General features: G+C 36.2%; 1 protein-coding gene across 6 annotated transcripts in view, besides 4 other annotated features; it reads right to left on the bottom strand.

Moving 5' to 3' along the window:
• Positions 1-20646, bottom strand: part of HDAC9 (histone deacetylase 9) — a 915592-nt gene that overhangs the window by 148926 nt on the left and 746020 nt on the right. For all 6 annotated transcript variants that reach the window (NM_001321868.2, NM_178425.4, NM_001321877.2 and 3 more), the window contains 2 exons: positions 17905-18024; positions 17494-17591 (listed from right to left, as the gene is read on the bottom strand). In NM_001321868.2, the coding sequence (NP_001308797.1) occupies positions 17494-17591; positions 17905-18024 (218 nt within the window). The remainder of the gene's footprint in view (positions 1-17493; positions 17592-17904; positions 18025-20646) is intronic.
• Positions 5884-7143: an enhancer, noted in NCBI's record as "VISTA enhancer hs644". NCBI's record gives its function as "enhancer in: hindbrain (rhombencephalon)[4/9] | forebrain[6/9] | limb[6/9]" and the evidence as "EXISTENCE:transgenic organism evidence [ECO:0001131][PMID:17130149]".
• Positions 17745-18095: an enhancer, noted in NCBI's record as "eExon 19 exon subfragment used in the reporter transgene". NCBI's record gives its function as "moderately activates a minimal E1b promoter in branchial arch of transgenic zebrafish, with weaker activation in pectoral fin; shows higher activity in combination with the proximal 5' and distal 5' intron subfragments {active_cell/tissue: branchial arch | fin}" and the evidence as "EXISTENCE:transgenic organism evidence [ECO:0001131][PMID:22442009]".
• Positions 17745-18842: an enhancer, noted in NCBI's record as "VISTA enhancer hs2307 and eExon 19 fragment used in the reporter transgenes". NCBI's record gives its function as "enhancer in: limb[2/2] | branchial arch[2/2]; activates a Hsp68 promoter in the posterior limb bud of transgenic mice, and also activates a minimal E1b promoter in pectoral fin and branchial arch of transgenic zebrafish {active_cell/tissue: branchial arch | fin | limb}" and the evidence as "EXISTENCE:transgenic organism evidence [ECO:0001131][PMID:17130149, PMID:22442009]".
• Positions 18073-18565: an enhancer, noted in NCBI's record as "eExon 19 proximal 5' intron subfragment used in the reporter transgene". NCBI's record gives its function as "moderately activates a minimal E1b promoter in branchial arch of transgenic zebrafish, with weaker activation in pectoral fin; shows higher activity in combination with the exon and distal 5' intron subfragments {active_cell/tissue: branchial arch | fin}" and the evidence as "EXISTENCE:transgenic organism evidence [ECO:0001131][PMID:22442009]".

Raw genomic sequence — 20646 nt, 5'->3', positions numbered from 1 at the left:
AACAATATTCTAAATTACAGAACAAATTATCTTACAATTGATGCTCATTTTGTAACCATCTATTATATTGCTGAACTTAATGGCTTTAAAAACTTTCTTTTCAGAATTGGTAAGAAACCCCCAAACTCATTTTTTTTTCCTAATGGATTTAACCCTCCCCAGGGTCACCTACAAATTTATTCTGGTATGGATTGAAGTCTTCCATTTGTTTTAATAAATATAATCATGCAAAAGTCCTGGACATATTTATTTAATATTTTTAAGGAGACTAGGATGTAAAGGGTATTTTTTCTGTTTCATTTCATTAACATAAATCACTCTGCTTAAGATGAAACACCATACACGTGAACCACATTAAAGCAACTCTACCCCTTCGGTGGAAAGTCGGAGCCAGGCCGACTCAGGGACTAGCCTCAGTCCACATTCTGAACACTTTCACAAACAGGTGAAGACCCTTCACACCAAACCCAAAAGAAGAGTGTGCGCTCCCCATGTAAATACTGGTTGCTCCCCGCACCCCTACTATGATTTGTTTGGTTTGGATTGACTTCATTATTTTTCCTCGATGGATCCTTTCTTCTTATATATATTTTTAAAAATCTACCTTAACATACACTGGAAAGAAAGAGAGGGAAAAAAAAAAAGCTCCTTTACTTTGATCTCCTCAGCATGTGCCCTCAGATGAAAAATGTATCCCAGTTGAATTTTTATGTCAAGATCATTCCCTGTCAGTGCAGTTTCTCTAAGAAATCCCCCACCTTTGCAGAATTTGTCTGTTTCTCTTCACTACCCAGCATAGCCATTAATTTTACTTAAGGCTCATTCCATGGTGCAGTGTCCATTGTTTCACTCCAATTAATGGCAATACAAGGTGTTAGGACTATATGTACCAAGGCATATTTACCATAAAGCTAATGAATCTTAATTTTCAAAGTCCCTCACTCACATGGACCTTTTCCAAGTCCCTGTACCTATTTTTGAATTTTTGCCTTTGTATTATTTCTTTGAAAGAGAGTTTCTGTAATTGTACAAGATTAACACCCACAAATCAGGCCTGGCCTCAGAATAGGAATGATAGTATGTCTATAATCCTCCGCCTCCTCGCCTGACTCTAATCGTCCTCAAGTTCCTGGACATGCCAGGAGGACACTGGGCTACTCACAAGACTTGGATTAAGAGTCCTTTCCCTTATCTTTGTTCTCCTAGTGCATGGTCAATATATCAGGCTTTGCTCATTCTCTAATTGTCTTGTAGTGATTCTCACTCCCAGCCCCGACTGTTACATGCTTCTGCATTTTTCTCCACAGCAACTAGCTCAGTTAAGCACATGGGAGAAAGTCAGCTACTTGTAAGGCAGCTTTACGCACATGAAAGATACCTCAAAGCACCAAAGGCTAAATTGAGACACTGATCAAGCAGCCAGAACAGAGGTGTACCATTTCTGCACCCCTCAGCAGCCTTGTTAGAAGGACTGTCTCTAAAGACAAGTTTCCAACAATCCTTGGTTCCTAAGGTATTTCCCACACAGGCACCTACCTGCCTGCAAGGAGCGAAGAAGGCATTGCTGAGTAGCTGCTCCTATAGTTTTACAAATGAAGAAAGTCTAATGAATCTAAATATTCAGGAAACCAACTTTGATTGGATGTTTCCGTAAAAGAAAGAAAAACGGAAAATGGTTTGCTTTCATAAATGCAGTTTACAAGACAGGAATAATTAGACATTTGGTGTTAATGGAATTTTAAAAAGTAGATTGGATGATTTAATATAAATCACTATACTAACTAACATTTCAGGAAAAGCACATCGTACAAATGTGTTCTTAACCTTTCAAGTCCACTCTTTGAAAATTAAAAACGCAGTTTCATGGGAAGGCAAATAAAAGACGATAATTACTAAGAGGTAATACGAACGTAGAGCACCTGTATCAGTCCGTTTTGTCACTGCTATACAGAACTACCCGAGACTGGGTAATTTATAAAGAAAAGAGGTTTAATTGACTCACACTTCCACATTGCTGGGGAGGCCTCAGGAAACTTACAATCATGGCGGAACGCGAAGGAGAAGCAAGGCACTTCATACACGGCAGCAGGAGACACAGAGAGCAAAGGAGGAGCTGCCAAACACTTTTAAACCATTAGATCTCGTGAGAGCTCAAGCACTATAATGAGAACAGCGTGGGGAAATCGCCCCCATGATCCAATCACCTCCCACCAGGTCCCTCCCTCGACACATGGGGATTACAATTCGAGATGAGATTCAGGTGGGGACTCAGAGCCAAACCGTATCAGCACCCAAGAAAGTAGAGCGAATAGATACTGCAGCTCAGCTGCTCCTCATGGAAATCTGGTGAGAGCAGAGACCTGCTGCTGCTAGGCAAAGGGAAGCACTGCAACCACAAGAATTGGTTAATTCTCACTACTCTTCAAAATCCACTCATGTTTGTCTTGGCAATTGCTATGGCCTAAATGTGTCCCCTATAAATTCACATGTCAAAATCCTAACCCAGACGGATATTAGGAGGTGGGGCCTTTGGAAGGTGATTAGACCATGGGAGCAGAGCCCTCAAGAACGGGATTAGTGCCCTTGTGAAAGAAAACCTACAGAGTTGCCTCACCCTTCCACCATGTGAGGATTTAGCTAGAAGGTGCCATCTATGAACCAGAAAGCAGCCCTCAACAGACATTGATTCTGCTGACGCCTGAATCTTGGGCTTCTCAGCCTCCAGAAGTGTACAAAATACATTTCTGTTGTTTATGGGCCATCCAGTCCATGATATGTTGTGACAGCAGCCTTAATGAAGCAAGACAGGAATGCACTCGGTTTCCCATTTTGAATTAATGGCGAGGGAAGCCTCTATTCTAGACATGTGAATAATTTCCTGTGTGATTTTCAGAAGTATCATGTCCAATTCATAAGGATATTTGAGGACAAATACAATATGACAATAGATGCAGAGGTTTTGAGCTTTGAGATAAAAAATACTTCTTCATTATGTTTGGCTCAGGAAAAAATCTACTAATGGTCCACAGAAGAAAGCATTCTGTAGGTTTATTCCAGGGAAGAATCCTCCCCTACGCTTTCATTTTTGGAAGGACATTGTCACACTTCTGCCTCTCCTCGAACAAGAAGTACAAGGGTCTGTGCCTCATAAATATTGCATATTTCAGCCACATCATCATTGGCCAAGCACACTCCACATTCAGATCGTTGGAATAAGAATCAATGTGCTAAAGAAAGCTGCATGCTTTTGTGCTATTCAAGGAAAGTATTTTTTCTCTCTCTCGTTTTTGTGAACCTATAAAATGTCATAACTCATTTGTGATAATGCTATTCATGATTTCTGAATGCTTCCATGTAAATAATGCTTCGTGTTTGCTTATTTGTGTTTTCTTTTTTTTTTTTTTTTTTTACTCAGGCTTTTAAAGACATTGGTTGAATACTTACAGATACAGTAAAATGAAAGGGCAATTTAAGCAAACTACTAAGGACTTTGCTGACATACTGCTTTGATAGCTGTAATATCTTTTGAATAAATATGTGATAACCACAGCTGTGGTTTAATAAAGTTCAGGACATCTGTACATCTACAAATGTTATCTTTGGAAACAAAATGGCATTGCCACACCATGATACGCATAGGGTCCACTCCCAAAGCCAAGTTCTTTTCTAACCAGGAAAAGTAATACATTCTAACATTTAATGTCTTATTTCGGGGTGTGCTTTCTCATCATGGAGAGTATGAACTTAATGGAAATTCTCCCCTTTTTGACATAAACAAGTATTTTTTTCCTCAGCAAAATGTAGTTATGAATAACAAATGAAGTCTTAAAAGTTTGTAAGTCGACAAATTGATTTACCTATAAAACCAATTATATGTTCACACTGCCATTAGTTGCTAATTGTAAGAGTTTTTAAAAAACCAAAGCCATCTTTTTTATGTGTCATATCTGATCTAAAAAAGTGTGGGAGATATGTGCCCATACTTAAGCTGAAACAAAATATACTCAGCTGAAACAAAAAATATATGACTGTAAAATATTACCAATTTACTATAATTTTGAATGGCAGTAACTTTACCCTAAGAAAATTCACTGAGTCATTTAATAGTCATAGCAAAGGAAACTGACACTCTTTTCCCTCTCTTGTTAATTCTGTTTCTCTTCCTTTCTTTCTTTGTCTTTAGGGTGTGTTATCTAAGAACCACTCACATGTAATCAGTGGAAAAAGGAGAAGACAGTCCGTAGAATATGGATTGTGGTATGCTCAGTTTATGTGATAACACAATATTATAATGACATGTAATATAATGTACTTATTTTACTAAAGTGACTGTGAGAATCTTAGGGGCAGATGTGTTTTACTTACTTTTATCATGTTTACTGAATTAGCGATGGACTGTTTAAAATGCCCACTAAGTTTGCTACTTATATCTATCAGAATTTTTCAAACTGTGTTCTATAGAATGTTAGTTTTCATGATACTTACAGATGTTGGGTGAAGAGATGTGGGGAGCTGGGAGTTTCATGTTCAAATAATTTGAGGAAGAATGCATTAAATAATGTAAAATTACTACTGGAATTCCTGCAGTTGTTAACATGAATTTACATATTATATGTCTTCAATTAGAGATTTTTCCCTATAGGATATTCTTTATTGTTGAGAAACACTTATTAACATTTCTTGTATCCAGTGTTTAGCAAAATATGGTTTGGAAGATACTTTTTTTGGTAATTTAAGTCCATTAGTGGGTTGCTTGGTTTCTCATATTAAAGATCTTTATAGTGTCTGTCTTATTCTGCTCAGGTTGCCATTAAAAAAGAAATACCACCAGGTGAGTAGTTTAAACAACATAAACTTAGTTTCTCACAGTTCTGGTGGCTAGAAGTTTGAGGTCAGTGTGCCAGGATGGTTGGGCCCTGATGAGAGCGCTCTCACCGGATTACAACCAGCCCTATCTCGCTGCGTGCACCCATAGCCTTGCCTCGGTGTGTGTGCATGGAGAGAGAGCAAGGAAGCAAGCTCTCTGGTGTCACTGCTCATAAGGGCACCTACCCTCAAGATTCCATCTAACCCTAATTGCCACCCACAGGCCCCAGCTCCAAACACCATCACATTGAGGGTTAGGGGTTCAACATACATGTTTTGGGGGAACACAAACATTTAGACAATAACAGTGCCTAATGAAAAACATACATACTTAAAACGAGCTGAGTATGATCAGATTCTTCTTCTGATCAGAGCTGATATCATGTTCATCACTGGCAAAAATTTGTATAGGGCCTCCTTAATTCCGCTTAGGAAAGGTTAGGAAGCAGAAGCTCAGTTTTGTCTTCCTAATACTGGTCTCCCTGGGTTCCTAATATGGTTCCTTAGGCCCAGACACACATCATCCTAGTGGAGACCTAGGACCCAGTCCACCTGTGCATAACAATACCCAGAAAAGAGTATTGGATAAATGGTTAGCAGGATCATGGATGAAATTGGATCATATTAATGTCAAGTTTACTTAAATAATGCAAAATATACTCAACTTGTTCTTTCATAACGAGTTAAGTCTGATAGAATCGCTCATGACTTTCCTAACCAGAGGTGATAAATAGGGCAGGAAATAGGACTGGACTCCGTGTCCCTTGGCTTTCATAGCATAACCAGATCTCCTCATCTGAGAGGGGTAAGTGTTGAATAGTTACTAATTCATATGTATGCATAATCCATTTTACCAGTTGGACCAAAGGCAGAGCAGCGGCCAGAATGGGGAGGATGGAATCCTCAGTAACACCACAGCTGACCCCTCAGGGGGAGACTTCCTCGTTTTTGCTTCTTGGCTTCAAACTGGTTTGGGAGCCCTTTTGTGTAACCACTTTGTGAGAGACTCTAGAAGCTGGGATTTAATTTTGTAGAGTCTCCTGAGGCGTCTTTATTCCTCAGGGTGTCAGGACAACTCTCACACCACAGGAGGGTTCCTCACTTATTTCCACTTCAAAGGGGCATTAATAATAATCCTCCTTATTACAGAATCCAACCAGACCTTCTGGTGTGATGATTAATTGGGAGGTGTTGTACTCTTTTTTTTCAGTGTATCATGTGCAATCATTTCAGTCCTTAAAAATAAACGTTCTCTCTAAAAAAAAGAAAGGAAAAAGAAAAAAAGGCACAAACAAAAATGTTTTGAAAAGTAATCACTTGTTTAAAAAATGGAAATTGGGGCTTCTGTGTTGTAAGGAATGTATGTGCGTAACGGTGAAATTCAACACTGGTAAATGATCTGACTACCTCAAAGTGAAGTTTTTGCCTTCCTACAGTGGCCTTTAACCCTGCCCTTTCCTCCAATCTGAGAAGAGCTGATGTTGATGGAACATATAATGGCCCCTTTCCTGTGTAGTAAAGTCAGCAATAAAGCTTAGTAATTAAGGGTACCAGGGAGGCCCAGCCCAGCAGGCTAGTGGTGTGGCGAACACTTTTAGAACTTCAAACAATATCAAAGTCACTGAGAAACGGGCCTAGCTCAGTTCTGGTTTGAATTAAGCCTCACTTCCACACGCACTTTTCAAATCCAAGCTCAAACAAGAAAGCCAAGGCCTTCTGGATTTCATTAGAGCCAATTATCTTATCTGTTTCATCTCAGGCCTGACCCTAAGGCTGGCAAACAGCTATTCAGTGCATTTGTGTGGTTGTTTGAGAAAGCCTCTAGTCAGCCAATGGCCCGAGGACCTGCTAATTAAAACACCGTTGCCCCCCTGCCTCTAGTGATTAAATATTTTCAAGCTTTTGTAAATAATTTTTCCATTCTTTGCCCCAAGCCTCAAAGGTCCAATACATGCAGTAATTTATTTAGTTTGTCAGAGAATACTGTTGGAAATAGGGTTATAATGGAACCTTTGGAAACTTTTATAAGTCTTCGTACTTCTGAAAGTGACAGTTTATAAACCAGCCAAACGTGTATACTGTTTCTGATGTAATTATGTTCTAATGGCCTTTCTCCTTTTGAAGTGATATAGTCTATAATGGGCTTACATTTTGTCAATAACCATATTTCCTCAAATGTCTACATAAGATCTAGAGTCGGAATTTAATGAGGTCATGTAAGTCCTAGAAATTATCTCAAGGTATATTGCCTTTAAGTTTTTTGTCTGAGGGTGGGTCCCAGTCACAAAGACTAGCTTGGGAAGTCATGGACTAATCAAACTCTTGCTTGCTCTTTGTGGCAAGGAACTGCTAGGGAACATTATGAATTCTTTCCAGAGCCAACTTCTGAGGAGTCGGTGAGTGATATGGTGATACTGCTTCAGAAAAGAAAATATTCAGGGAGGAGAAGAACATTGAGAATTAAAATCATTGAATTAAAAACTTTTCCCAGACCTAATTTATATTCAGAATGATCTCAGCTAAGATAATTATCTTGCAATCAAATTGTGGGCAGAGGGAGGACATGAAGAACTTTGTAGTTCTGAGATCCACTAAAGCCTTCGTAGGCTTGGTACACACCCCAGGAAGCCCACTACGGCCCTTGTGACACAGGGGCTTCACTGCCTCCCAGCTCCTGAGGTTTGCTATGGCCTTGTGTACCACAGTGCACGTGACTCCAAGCAAACTCCTCCTGGAACAAAACACAGACAGAGCAGATGCGCACCCACAGATACCTCTCTTCCTTCGAGGCCTGGACACAGCCATGGAGACTCCTAGCTCTTCTAGCCAATCTGGTCATGTTTTATTGAAGGAAAATAAAAATCAAGGGTTTTGCTTGTTGTCGTTGTTGCTCTTTGTGAAGTATTACAAGAACAATTTTCAGCTGGTTCATTAGCTGTATCTAGTATTCACTAACACACCTATGAAAAAGAACTATGAGACCAAACAGCTCTGCTTCTGTTGTTCTTAAAATGACACTTTGGTCTTATCCTAAATAATAAGCTTTTAATAAAAACATCCACCAAAGCAAACAATTAAACAATACATAAAGCACCAGGAGGCAACCTCGTGGTTCAGTTACACTCTGGAGCTATTCCAAAGGAGAACATGTGGGTATTTTATAAGGAACAATACAATTCTCCAAAGTTATTATAAAACAACAAAATTTTAAATTGGGCCACATAAGCCCTTCAAACTTGGTGCAGATTTTATGCTCAGCTCTGACAATGGGAGGATTTCTTTCTCTTCTAAAGTATGTTTAGAGACCTGTGCCAGACTCACCCTCTCTCTCCCCTTCTGTGTGTATCTTAGAAGAGAGACAAAATAATATTAATTTGTTAATTAAAAAAATTGAGACTAGTAAATTAACAGGTGAGTGAGCCTTCCTTCATATTAATTTTTTTATTCTACATACAATCATTTGATTTGTATTAATTGTCACACCCTCAAAAAACCAAACTAAATAGTATATATTAACAAACTTTTGGCAGACTTCAGTTCTTCTAATGATTTAGAATGTAATCAGTTCATTGAAACTGAGTCAGTAAAATATGACACGTCAGATTTTATTATCTCTGTTCCTGTCCGTTTCACCTACTACGACGGTGTCATATTTACCGGAAAGGAAGCCATCACTGAATCATTTCTACAGTGCTGTTTTCATTTTAGAAGTACTGAAACATAAAAGAATCTACAGTGTCAGAAACTTCTACAGGGGAGGCAACATGGGTATATAAAGCAAAATCAGAGGCCTAATGAGGCAGCTCTGGGAGACTTTCTGAAACTAAAAGTACAGAAGGATAAGAAACCCAGATCTCTTTGGGTAATAAAACTTTCAAATTATAAATCTGTGCCTCTTCTATTCTTGCTCTTGGGTTTGAATGAGCTCTTCTTCATTTATTTGCTTTTGGCTTCTGTTCCAGTAAAAATGCTCTTTTGTTTCTGAAATTCAGTCCATTTCGGTAACTCCAGCATCACTTTAATTTTAAAAGAGTTAAGAACCAGCTAAAAATATACATCCTAGGCGAGCCAACATTTTATTTTCAAGTGCAACAATATGTTTCTTTAATGGGAAAGATAATGTGTACATGTTATTTTCTTGATGGCCTTTCATACAAGTGTTTTGGGATGTAAAAATATCTTCAAATTGAGATGCAGATTTACAATTCTGCTGTGCTTAAATGGGGACTGAATAATCTATTTTGTCCTCTTCTCTCCACTTTGAAGTTGAGATATGAGTGATAATGGGACAAATGCCATTTTGGTAAGTCTTTCCCACTAGAAGCTTTGTCGTTCATAAGCTCACCACCCTCCCTATGGCTTTACGACAGTAGTGCTGCTCTTTGGAATAGATGTTTAGATAACCAATACCCAGTACTGCAGTGCCCACAAGAAAGATGGGCAGATTCCTAATGGATACAAGAACAAGCCATTACCCTTCTAGAATAGTGCCAGAAAAGTTTAAATTTCTGCCTAAACGAAAACAGATGTTGATTTATAAGTTCCATCTATATGACACCAAATCATTGGGATGAAATATGGAAAATTGAGTCTATCATCCACATGTTTGATGTCATGCAAAGACTTGAACTACTCTCTGAAAGTCCTGCCCATCAGAAAACAGTGTGAACTTCAGCTCTGCATCTCAGATGTAATATCTGAACAGACCTTCAGTTGAGCAAAGTTTTCACGAGTATGATTCCTCCACGTGGGAAAGTCAATATGTAAATTTTAATACTAGTAAGCCATTATATTTATCTAGCTCTCAAAAAAGGGACTACAAATTTATATTTACAGTATATTAAAACAAACATTCAATCTCTTTTTTCCACATTATTTGTCATCTCAATAAGTCTAGTAGTAGTAAACTTTAGATGTAAAATCATAGAAAAAGAGGGTAATTGCTCAGTTTCAAAAAAAAAAATTCACTCTATGACCCAAAGACATTGAAATTTGGTTGAAAAACAGCTGTTCAATGAAGTAAAGGATAAGTAACTTTTAATTGAGCGAGAGCTTTATCTTACCAGTAAATGAAGCAAATTCTAAAATATTCACTAGAACTATGAAGAAAAGTGTGACTCTATAATTTATTAATTATGTTTACCTTCCATTCTGGCCATCTCATATCAGCATTAACTACACGACAATTCCACTATTACTAGATTAGGTTATTTAAGTCAATGAATTGACGTAAGCTCCTTGACAGTCCAAAATGTCTGCTATTTCTGGCCTTAAAATGCTCCACAATAATATTTCATAAAAAGATTTCATTTCCTGATATTTCAAAGTATTACACATACATTGAGAGGATTTTGTGCAGGCAAGGGTTATATAATTCAGTGTTTCATCTGCAAAACAAAAACAAATCACTTCTAGGCATACAAATTACCTTTTTCTTAGAAAGAACTTCTAGAGAAAAGAATTAAACATAGATATCCTTTTAATTAGTCCCCATTATTTGGAAAATTGTTTAATTGCTATACAGATTCCAGAAAATTTTTGGCTTTAGAACCATTTTAAGGCAGAGAAAAAATATTGTCTTAAAATTTTTATAGCTGATCCGACCTTTTAAAAACAATAAGAAGAAGTAAGTTGTAGCATTTGATCTACTTTAAATAGCTCTTCACTGCAGATATCACTTCCCTTTCAAAACTTCAAGTACTTCAAGATACTTCCTGGACTTTTTACCTGAGCTCTATACTGTCTAATAATATCATATCTCTTTGATGCTTGGCTCAAAAATCAAGTTTGCAAGTTTCCCTAGGAAGACAGGTGTGCATAAGATCAATTTACTCTCAGGGTCAAAGAGCAGAAATTCTAAGGGTATCTAGAGACACACACCTAGAAATTGTAATTTTTTGATGAAAATTGGTACAATATGTTGAACAGATGAGAGAAAAAATGTCCTTAAACTATATTTATTTTTGAAGCTGAAAAGCAGATAGAGCTGACAGCTTTCTCAAATTTATTCCTATGGATTTTTTTTCTTGTGACCCGCTTTGATAAAACTTTTTGAAACATCTCAACATACGGAAAATAGAGAATGGAATCTGGACAGTGAATAATTGTGGTTCACACTAGCAATAAATTCATATGTATTGCTTTTTATTGAAATAAATCATTAATAGATGAAAATCATTACTGCTTTGTTACTAAGATTGATTGACAAGTTCAGATTGAAGCCCACATCTTCTTTATTAGTCAAGTCTTTCAGAAAGAGAAAATGTGGGCTGGATTTGTGAGGTATGATAAATGGTCTGGGAAAGATGGTAGTAGGGCCAATTTGATATGTACAGTATTTCATATTGGCAAATTGTTTCAAGAAACTCCACCCTCTTTCTCAAACTGTCTTCAACATCCTTGGGAAAATACATGATATCATGAGCTTAATATATTTACTTGTCACTAACAATTGAGAATCCATTGCAAGACTGGGAAGCATCAACCACAGCTCTCATTGACAAATTAAGATCCCAAATCATTTGACATTGTTAAGCATGACTTTTAGATGACAACGAAATCATGCTTTATTTCAAAGTTAAATCTAAATGTTCATTTTTCACTATATATTCTATTAAAATTTAATTTGGTATTTTCAAGTTCTATTACATATCCTTTCCACAAAATCTAAATGCATACATAAGAAGAATATTTCTTTTAACAAAGATGAAAACATTTATATCCCCGTTGTAATTAGATCGGTTATTAAAAGGAAAAAAAGAACCAAGGGTTTAATTTGATAGGCTCTCTTACTATGTCAGATGAGGAGAAGACACAAGGAGAAGTGGCTTGGAGATATCAAGGGTAGTGAAAGTCTAAATTTTCAATTTTGGGGCACTTACCAGTTTAGATGTCCAAGCCAAAGTTAAATAGACTAAAATGCATTGCAAAGAATTTTTCGCTATATGATTGTTTTGTTATCCCATACTCTTGACACAGGGACTACAGTTCCTGTATGGTTTGGGACCAACAAAGTACTGTCTCCAAAATCACACTTGCTGCCTCAGAAGCCCTGATCACCATATACCAGCTGTGTGACATCAGGAAACCTACCGAAGCTCAAGAAGCGTGGTAACTGCCTGTGGAAAACAAAAGCACCTAACTCAAGGACTTGAAAAGCTTTTTAAAAAAATGAACAACTAGCAAAAATTAAAGCCTCAACGAATACTCTATATTACTGTGTTATTATTATTATATTGTTGTTTTTACAATGGTATTATTCTACATTCACTTATCATGAAATTATATTAAAATATTAAAAATAAGAACAAGAACAAAAAAAATCCAAACAGTATTTACTTAATTGTCATTACCAAAAGAGTGAATGCAAATATTTACTTGTGGTCCCATTTTATCTCTTAAATAGAATTTAGAAACCTCTTTTTCAGTTTATACATATAACAAGAATATTTAGAAGTTAATCTTCTAAGAATTAGCCAGAATAATGATGATATATTTTATAAAATAAGAATGAGAGAAAAATATATTTAACTTATTTATGTGCCCTGCCCCAAATTATCTACTATAGTTCCAAGGTAAACCCAACCATTCTAAGAAATCTCTAGGCTGACCATTATTGACTTGTCCAAGGAGCACTTGCAGTGTGGATATGACAATAAAAGGTTTTATTTCATTCTGCACTTGAGTTAAATGCCCTTTCTACATTTTTGTCACAAGCAGGGGAGGAATCCCCGGAAGCCATGATTCTTATATTAAAGACTCAGCATCAGGAACAGAATTGCCACTTTGACTGTGAACTAAGAATAGACAGGATATCTGGACAGATTTCCAATCACAATTTTGCATTAATGGACTTTAATTTTGCTTATGTCATTAAAGTAAACAGATATGAACTCAAGACAGGAGAAAGAGATAGACACTGGGCTGCTTGTATGTGCTCAAATGGTTCAATGGCTTTGACTATATAGCAAAAACATTAAGCTTCTAAAAATTCCAGTTAATGATATGTCCAAAATATTTTAGTAATGCCTAAATTTAGAAGCACATAGCATTTCGATTAAATACAGATACTACCTACATAAGTCAATAAAATAAAAATAGGTAGTTTTCAATAATAACCCCCAAAATTTTGACTAAATGTGCACTACCTCTACTAGACAACTCTCTCAAAGTCCCCTTTTCAGTTGGCATACTGACAACCTCAGTGCAAGAGAGTCCTTCTGGGTCAGAGTTTTCCCCTGAGATGAACTTCCCTGAAGAGCTGATATGTACAGATTCACTGTCTATTGAAAATATGCATCAACAACAAATATTAATTAAGGTAGCTACATACTACAACATACTGACATGAAAAGATGATATTTAAAATTAGAACTTGTTTGCATCTAAAGAACCCAGATCAAGAGCTCTATGACCTTTCTTTAGCTAGTCCTCAGTATATGCCAGATGGGTCACTTTAATTATTTCATTAAGACCTGCTAAATTGAAGGGGCTTATATTTCTTTTCTTGAAATTAAAAGGGGCTACAAAGGAATTGTCCTCCATTCACTCATTTGTTTATTTATTTAATAAAACAGGCATAATTTCAAGGACTACTAAATAAAATCTTATTCGTTGGAAATTGCTACTTATTTTTTAAACATTTGAAGATATTTTTCTCAGATTTAAACAGAAGCATGAGATTCATAATTGTCTCTTGCCCACTATAAACAAACCACTTAAATGGTCTGACATAAATAATCACTTTAACATTTGCAGTACTCTTAAAAGAATTAGTCTTTAGAAAAAATAATGTGCCCAATCCTCATCAATGGACTGTAGAGAGTATAAAACCATTGGAACATCCTTTTGAAATGATTGAAACAGAGATTCCTTAGCAGGCATTCAGCAAAAGATTTGTTCAATAAAGACAAGTCTGACATTCTTATAACAAAATGAATAGATGTTCAGAGTTCTTTGTAGAGCATAGTTTTTAAGAAGCCAAGGTAGTTCCCTCAGACTTTTGCTAGGTTCGCTTAATACCTGAGCTTGACAATGCTCCCATTGACAACATTATTCCCTCTTTCTTCTCTGATTCATTCATTCATTCATTCATTGACTCATTCAACCAAATATTATTGAATAGCTCTTCTCTGCCATGTTGTTCACTAGGCATTTGTGCCTTAGGTTGGGAGGCTATGCGGGCATGAAGGTCTTACACTTTGGTAAAAAGTCACTGTGCTTTATTACTCCTGAGTATTTTAAGTCATAAACAGAAGAGAGTAGCAATGTGGTGTGAGAAAAGGAGCATAGATTGTAGAGTCACAAACTAAGTTCAAATTACTGCCCTTCCAATTAGTAGTTCCGTGACTTATATAAAGCACTTAAGAATTAGCCATAATGTCTATAAAGTTTCTAATCTAGGACCTGGCATGTAAGACCCCAATAAAAATAGTCATAATTATTTTATACAATGGTAACCTCGGAAATATATTTTAGTTGAACATAAAAGATATTTGATACTGAATATTTTAAGAATTCTCGTGAAGAATCTTAAGTATACCCTTCAATTATTTCAGAGATGAATGATAACTGCTTGGAAGAAATAACTAGTCATTTGAAATAATTTAGTTATTCTATTATATTTTTTAAATTCTATTTAAAGCTTACAGTAAATGTGAAATCTTTGGTTTGTCTATGATTTTTTTGCTATAGAAAAAGCACATAATAGAAACCATGAAGGCAATATATGTGACAAATTTTGGCTAGTAAAATAAGCAGCGATCTTACATCCCACTATAAATGTAGCTTCACAGGGAGAGAGATTTTCCTTCAAAAGATACTTGTAAGAGTCCAGAAACAATTAAAAACTAAGAGAAAAGAAAAGGCACCATTTACTCTTTCCCCCACCTCCATTTCCTGCACCCACACACAGATGCCAGAAAGATCTTCTGGTTCAATACTAGGAAACAAGAAGTGTATTAAGGATAAGCTTAGAAAATAATACTACATTAAAAATTATTTGGCAGTCTATCTGACTAAGCCCAAATTGACAAAGGAGTATATACATATATAGATGGGCTATCCTTTGCCTGCATAAGAGTTTACAAAATATGATTCATTTTCTTTCTACCAATCCCACCTCATGTCCTTGAGCCAATACAGAAAGATCATTTCATGGCTCCATGCATTTCACAGTTCACTCTCTCTGCCCAGTCAGTATGAATACCCCCGACTCCAACTCCTCTTCTCCCCTTGAAAGTTCCCACTCATCTTTAGAAGCACAGGTTGAACAATACTTGATGAAACCTTTCCTGAAACCATTGAGGACAAGTTAATCATTTTATCTGCTCTGAGCGCTTCTGTTCTCTAGAATAATACGTATGACATATATTATGATCCCTGAAAGTAACAACAGCTCTGAATTCCAAGTGCTTACCACAGTGCCCAGCATATAATATGTGTTCAATGATGGTTTTTGAAATGAATGACTTACCTGTTTGACCTAGCCGTAACAAATTCACAAGTACTTCTGGTCATAAATGATGAATAGCAGACAGGCCATAGTTCAAAATGGCAGGAGTCTTATGAATTAAATCTGGTTCTTAAATAAATATGGACATTGAAAGCCAGAAATTTACATTTCTGCATCCTAGCTAGATAATGCCACTTCTCTAATGAAACTCAAGTAATGGAGATACACTGGGAAGCTTAGAAAAGTTTGCTAATATAAAGTGTCCACCTTCCAGGCAAAGAGAAGGCGCCATTCTGAGAATCGTCAACCCCATTCAGGAGTACTTCATTCATTTACCATTTAAATCACAAAACAATATGTGCACTTAATATCTGCGTTTACATTATGTAATGGAATGGTTGTGTTCAAAGAGGTTCTTTAGAAAAAAATCTCATCCACCGCTCACTTTGTGATGGGAAAACAAAGGCACAAAATAGAAGTTGCCTTTCATTGCTGTGCATACATGATTTATTTTTATATAAAGCTATAGTACCCCAAATGGAATTACGATAATTTAAAAAATCTATGAATTCTGCATCAAAGATAATGGATATGATTATATGAGATAGTAAGGTTGAGAATTTAATGTGTATTTAACATGAATTTAATGTGTATCATGCAAGTTACCAGGTTAACTTGGGAGGCAGACAAATAAATTCATATGTGATATAATATTGAAGTCTATTATCCTGTTAAAGTTCCTACAAGATATTAATAATGTTTGTGAAATTTGCAAATGTAATGGTATTTGTGATGTTGAAAAAGAGAATTCATAACATTAAAACTTCTGTTTTTTAACATAATTTTTTATTTTGCTCCTAATTAAAGCAAAATATCTTCACAATCAACCCAAGTTGACGGTAGAAAATTTTATTCCAGCCATTTTTTTCTACAACATTGTGGATATCTTTGTGTATATTTTTTCCCAAAGTACACATTCCAGAATGTGGGTAGAATTTTCCTTTGTATCTTGAATGCCAAGCCAAACATATTTATTTTAAATGTATTTTTTAAATAGCTATTTTTCTATCATTTTTCCTGGACCTGCTTTCTCATGAGAAATGAACTTCAAATAAGACAACGAAGTATGCATGACACACAGGACAAAAGAAACCCACCAAAACTTCATTAATTAAAAAATTTCCCTATTATTTCCACAAGTTTCAAATATAGGGTATCAACAGGATTTTCTTCATGGGAACTTATAAATGGCAAATTTCAAAACTATGAACACATGTAAGTTTTTTTCATGTGGTTGTTTTGCTTTCAACTAAATAAAAAATTCGAGAAATTATGCATTACCAATAGGCTAAAACCTCTTCCAAAAATCTTGCAAGGGAGGCTCCTCAGGTTGAATTAACTAGACTCACTGGCTTCTGAAGAAAGACTAACGTTTAAACTACAAACTAATATTTTCTTAATTCCAGAGAAGAAATGCTCATTTTTAAAATTCTCTCAAAGAGAAGCCTTTGATTTGCTTTTTCTTATTTATATTAATATTTAGTTATTTGCTTAGACAAAAGCAGAATGCTATGTGAATACACTGTACTTAATGTTACATTTTGTAGATTTTGTTCCAGAGAAAATGGAAGCAACCAATTAATTAGTTAATGTTTTCATGTGAAAGGAAAACTATACAAAAGTCATTTACCCTACCATCAAATGAGATTGCCTTGGCCAATGTCATGAAAATGAGTGAGCTCCCCAGAACTAGGAATGCTAAATGGTGCTATGTAAAAAAGGGATTCTGTAGTCCAATGAAGTTTGAGAAATGCTTGTTCAACAAAATCAAATAGGTAATGAAGGACTTCTCAGGGCAATGAATATGCTAATGTCTACTGTAAAAACCACATCATATGTTAAAATAGGCAGAATTTTCCAGAGAGAACTATTTAATAATAAAATATTTTTTCCTCCTTATTTGGGAGGGAAGGGGGAAAATGGGCCATTGGCCAATATACCTGTATAATCAAAACCAGGTCTTGATAGATCTTTTCTTCTTATACATATTCTTATGTGGCTTTGAGCGATAATTTACCTTAATTAGACATTTACATTTCTCTTCCATATTTGGTGTTATTTCAATGGACATTTATTTTCCAATTTGCCACTTTCAGAGAGAAAGAAGTACCAACCTGAATGCTTCAAGGTACTCAACATCTCCCATGGGAGGATCAAGGCCACCTGTCCAGGCAATATTTATATTGTACCCTTCTCCAAGGCCTGTTCCAACCTGGGAAGAGAAAGACACACCACGGTGGGCAGAGAAGAGAGCAAATGGAAGAAAGCAAGAAGAGAGGAAAACAAGCACATGGGAGCTCTTGAAATAAACATCAAACAACACATCAAATCAGCCCAACCTTCCCTGACAAACAGTGCTCTGGGTTATGCACTTGTTCTGCACTGGTTCTTGGTCCCATGGGACAATTCAGTAATCTCGTGTAATTTAAAACACCAGCAAAGGACAAGAAAATTAGGGGTAATCATGCAATGCAATTACCTGAAAGATACAAATAAAAGTGGGGCTCTAAAGAAATAAACCGAACCTCATTTGGGGCTCCACTGCCAGGGAAAAAGTTCCCTTCATCATAGCGATGGAGTGAAATGTACAGGATGCTGGGGTCAGCATAAAAGGCCTGCTGGGTACCGTTTCCATGGTGAACATCCTACAGGGAAATGAAAACAGACGACAAATACAGTCATGTCTAACTTTGTGTGGAGACAACCTTTCTGATTTCTAGTTCCCTGTCTTTCTACCACTTTCTTTCTCATTTTCTGTCTTCTCACTACGTTCCTCTTTTCTTTCTCCCTTTCAGCCTGCTTCCACACCACCCCCTTTACTTCCTGAACTTTCAGGCAAATTACCCTTTAATGCACTCATTTTTTAAACTGGCTTCTAAAAATCAGGAAACCACAGCGAGCATGCCCTGGAGACTCCAGATGAGCAGTCATTGAGAAAGCCCAGTCCTTTGGTACAATTAGATATTTATACACCGGCTCTTTGTACTCTTTGCTTCAGTGATGGAATCTTGCATCCTGTTTTATGGAGGAATTTTATGACTTATTAACTGCCAACAGTTCATAACCCCTCAGGCTTAATTAACTAGCCTCATTGGCCTCTGAAAAAAGACTAATGTTTAAACTAAACTACAAACTAGTATTTTGCAGAAGGATCTATGGCTTACAGAGCATTTTCGCAATTCTTGACAGAACGCTAAACATACGTGTATGCATTGATTTGCCAAGTCCCACCATTAAGGTCAAAGGCTTTGCAACCAGCTGAATAAATTGGCTTTCTTGAAGCGTTCAGTTCAGTTAGCAATCCCTCCGCAGTTAGAATCACTTCAAAAGAGAAGCCAGATGCAAAAAAACTTCATACTTCATTTTGATAAAACGGTAACACAAGAGTCGAAGACGCAGGAGCATGAGCTCATTAGCTCTTAAATCATTTGGGCCAAAGCAGAAAGATGGCATGGGGTTTTATGCAATCTTGTGCAATCTGCCTAATTTTAATATCATATCATAGCTTTCTTTACAGCCTTCTTCCTGCTCTTTTCTCCTTTCCCTACACCAGTCCTCTTTCCCACTCAAAAAAAAAAAAAAAGCCTGATATAAAACTTGACAGTTCTTTTTTCTCACTGTTTTATGATACAGATACGTGCCAGAATTGATATAAGAAATGAAAAAGTCAATAGAACTAATAGCATTATTTTAAATGTCTTCACTGAAAGACCTCAAGTGTAAAAAAAAAACACCTCAATTAATATGCTTCATAATATCTTCTGACCAAAAAAAAAAGAGCCACTCCAAAAGTGGATAATTTATATATTTGTATTCAATAGAATATTACTGCTATACTTTAAACATACATAGTTTCCGGTTCTGTTATTTAAAAGTTTTAAAACTTGTAACTATATACTTACTTTATATTAGCAAGATATAGAATCATGCTATTTTCAACAATGATTTCTACAATTTTTAAGTCAGGCACTATATAAATATCTGGTATGGATTATTAGGTAAACTGAGGCTCAGAGAGTTTCAGTTACTAAGACTATGCAGGAAATAAGTTGCAAGACTGGGTCTTGAATCTACTTCCTATTCCAAAGGCCAAACTCTTAACAATTACACAGTTAACTGAAACTTACATTCATAATCTGTTTGATCCTCTTGGCAAACCTGTGAGGTGGGTTGTCAGTCATTATTGCTCCATAGGAGACTTATATGACCTGTCTTCATGCCAATCTCCAGCCCAGTACTCCTTCACTAGACACTATCATAGCCTTCTTTTGGTGAATTCTGAAAACCTGCATTGATCTTGCCATCCACGGTGTAGACATACAATAATCCTTTTCCCTTTTTGAATGGTACACATATCCAAAATTAAGAAATCATAATGTTGGGGCACATACACATCATCCCAGAAAGTTGTTTCAGCTAAAGACATACATCATCAGGAAAAAAAATAACTTAGTCAAATTATATCAATTCCTGGATTTCTGAATATCCCAAGGAAAGGAAGGAGGAGACAAAAAAACTATTTTCCTGTATGTAAACAAGGGTGAAACAATTAAAGCCACAATGTCTTTTGTGTTTGTTACTGGATATCTAGAAAATGGACAAATAAAATATTTTGAAAAACAACATTAAGGGGATATTTGTATTTCCCCTATACAATAGTAATTTTAATCAGTTCTAAGACACATTTGGTTTGAGCATAAATGCATCCACAATTTGAACAGCAGAAAAATATTGCTTTGATTACTTTTGTTTCTCTGGGGACACTGTAAATGTTTACTTAAAACAGTCAAATATAAAATGATATGTTCTCTCAGATATAAAATTATTTGTTCTTGAAAAATCTGTTGGGTACTTACTAGTGCATAAATTTCTGAGTAAGAAATAAAATCCTGTTCACAGCATAATAAGATTTTCAACAGACATTATTATTAAAATACATAAATCCATTCTAATGGGGCAATTCTTGATTCTGTATTCATATTCACCAAATATTTAGTGATAAAGGTTAAACTCAATTATGTCTTTTGTTTGGGGGAACAACTCACAGTATAGCCTTAAGAATATCATTTTTTTTAAGGCTGGGCATGGTGACTCATGCCTGTAATCCCAGCACTTTGGGAGGCCGAGGTGGGCAGATCACCTGAGGTTGGGAATTCGAGACCAGCCTGACCTACATGGAGAAACCCCGTCTCTACTAAAAATACAAAAATTAGCTGGGTATGGTGGCGCATGCCTGTAATCCCAGCTACTCGGGAGGCTGAGGCAGG

Source organism: Homo sapiens, chromosome 7 (genome assembly GCF_000001405.40).
Source record: "Homo sapiens chromosome 7, GRCh38.p14 Primary Assembly".
In the NCBI taxonomy this organism is placed as follows: domain Eukaryota; kingdom Metazoa; phylum Chordata; class Mammalia; order Primates; family Hominidae; genus Homo; species Homo sapiens.
The sequence above is the reverse complement of the archived record's forward strand: the minus strand, read 5'-3'. Positions and strand labels throughout refer to the sequence as shown.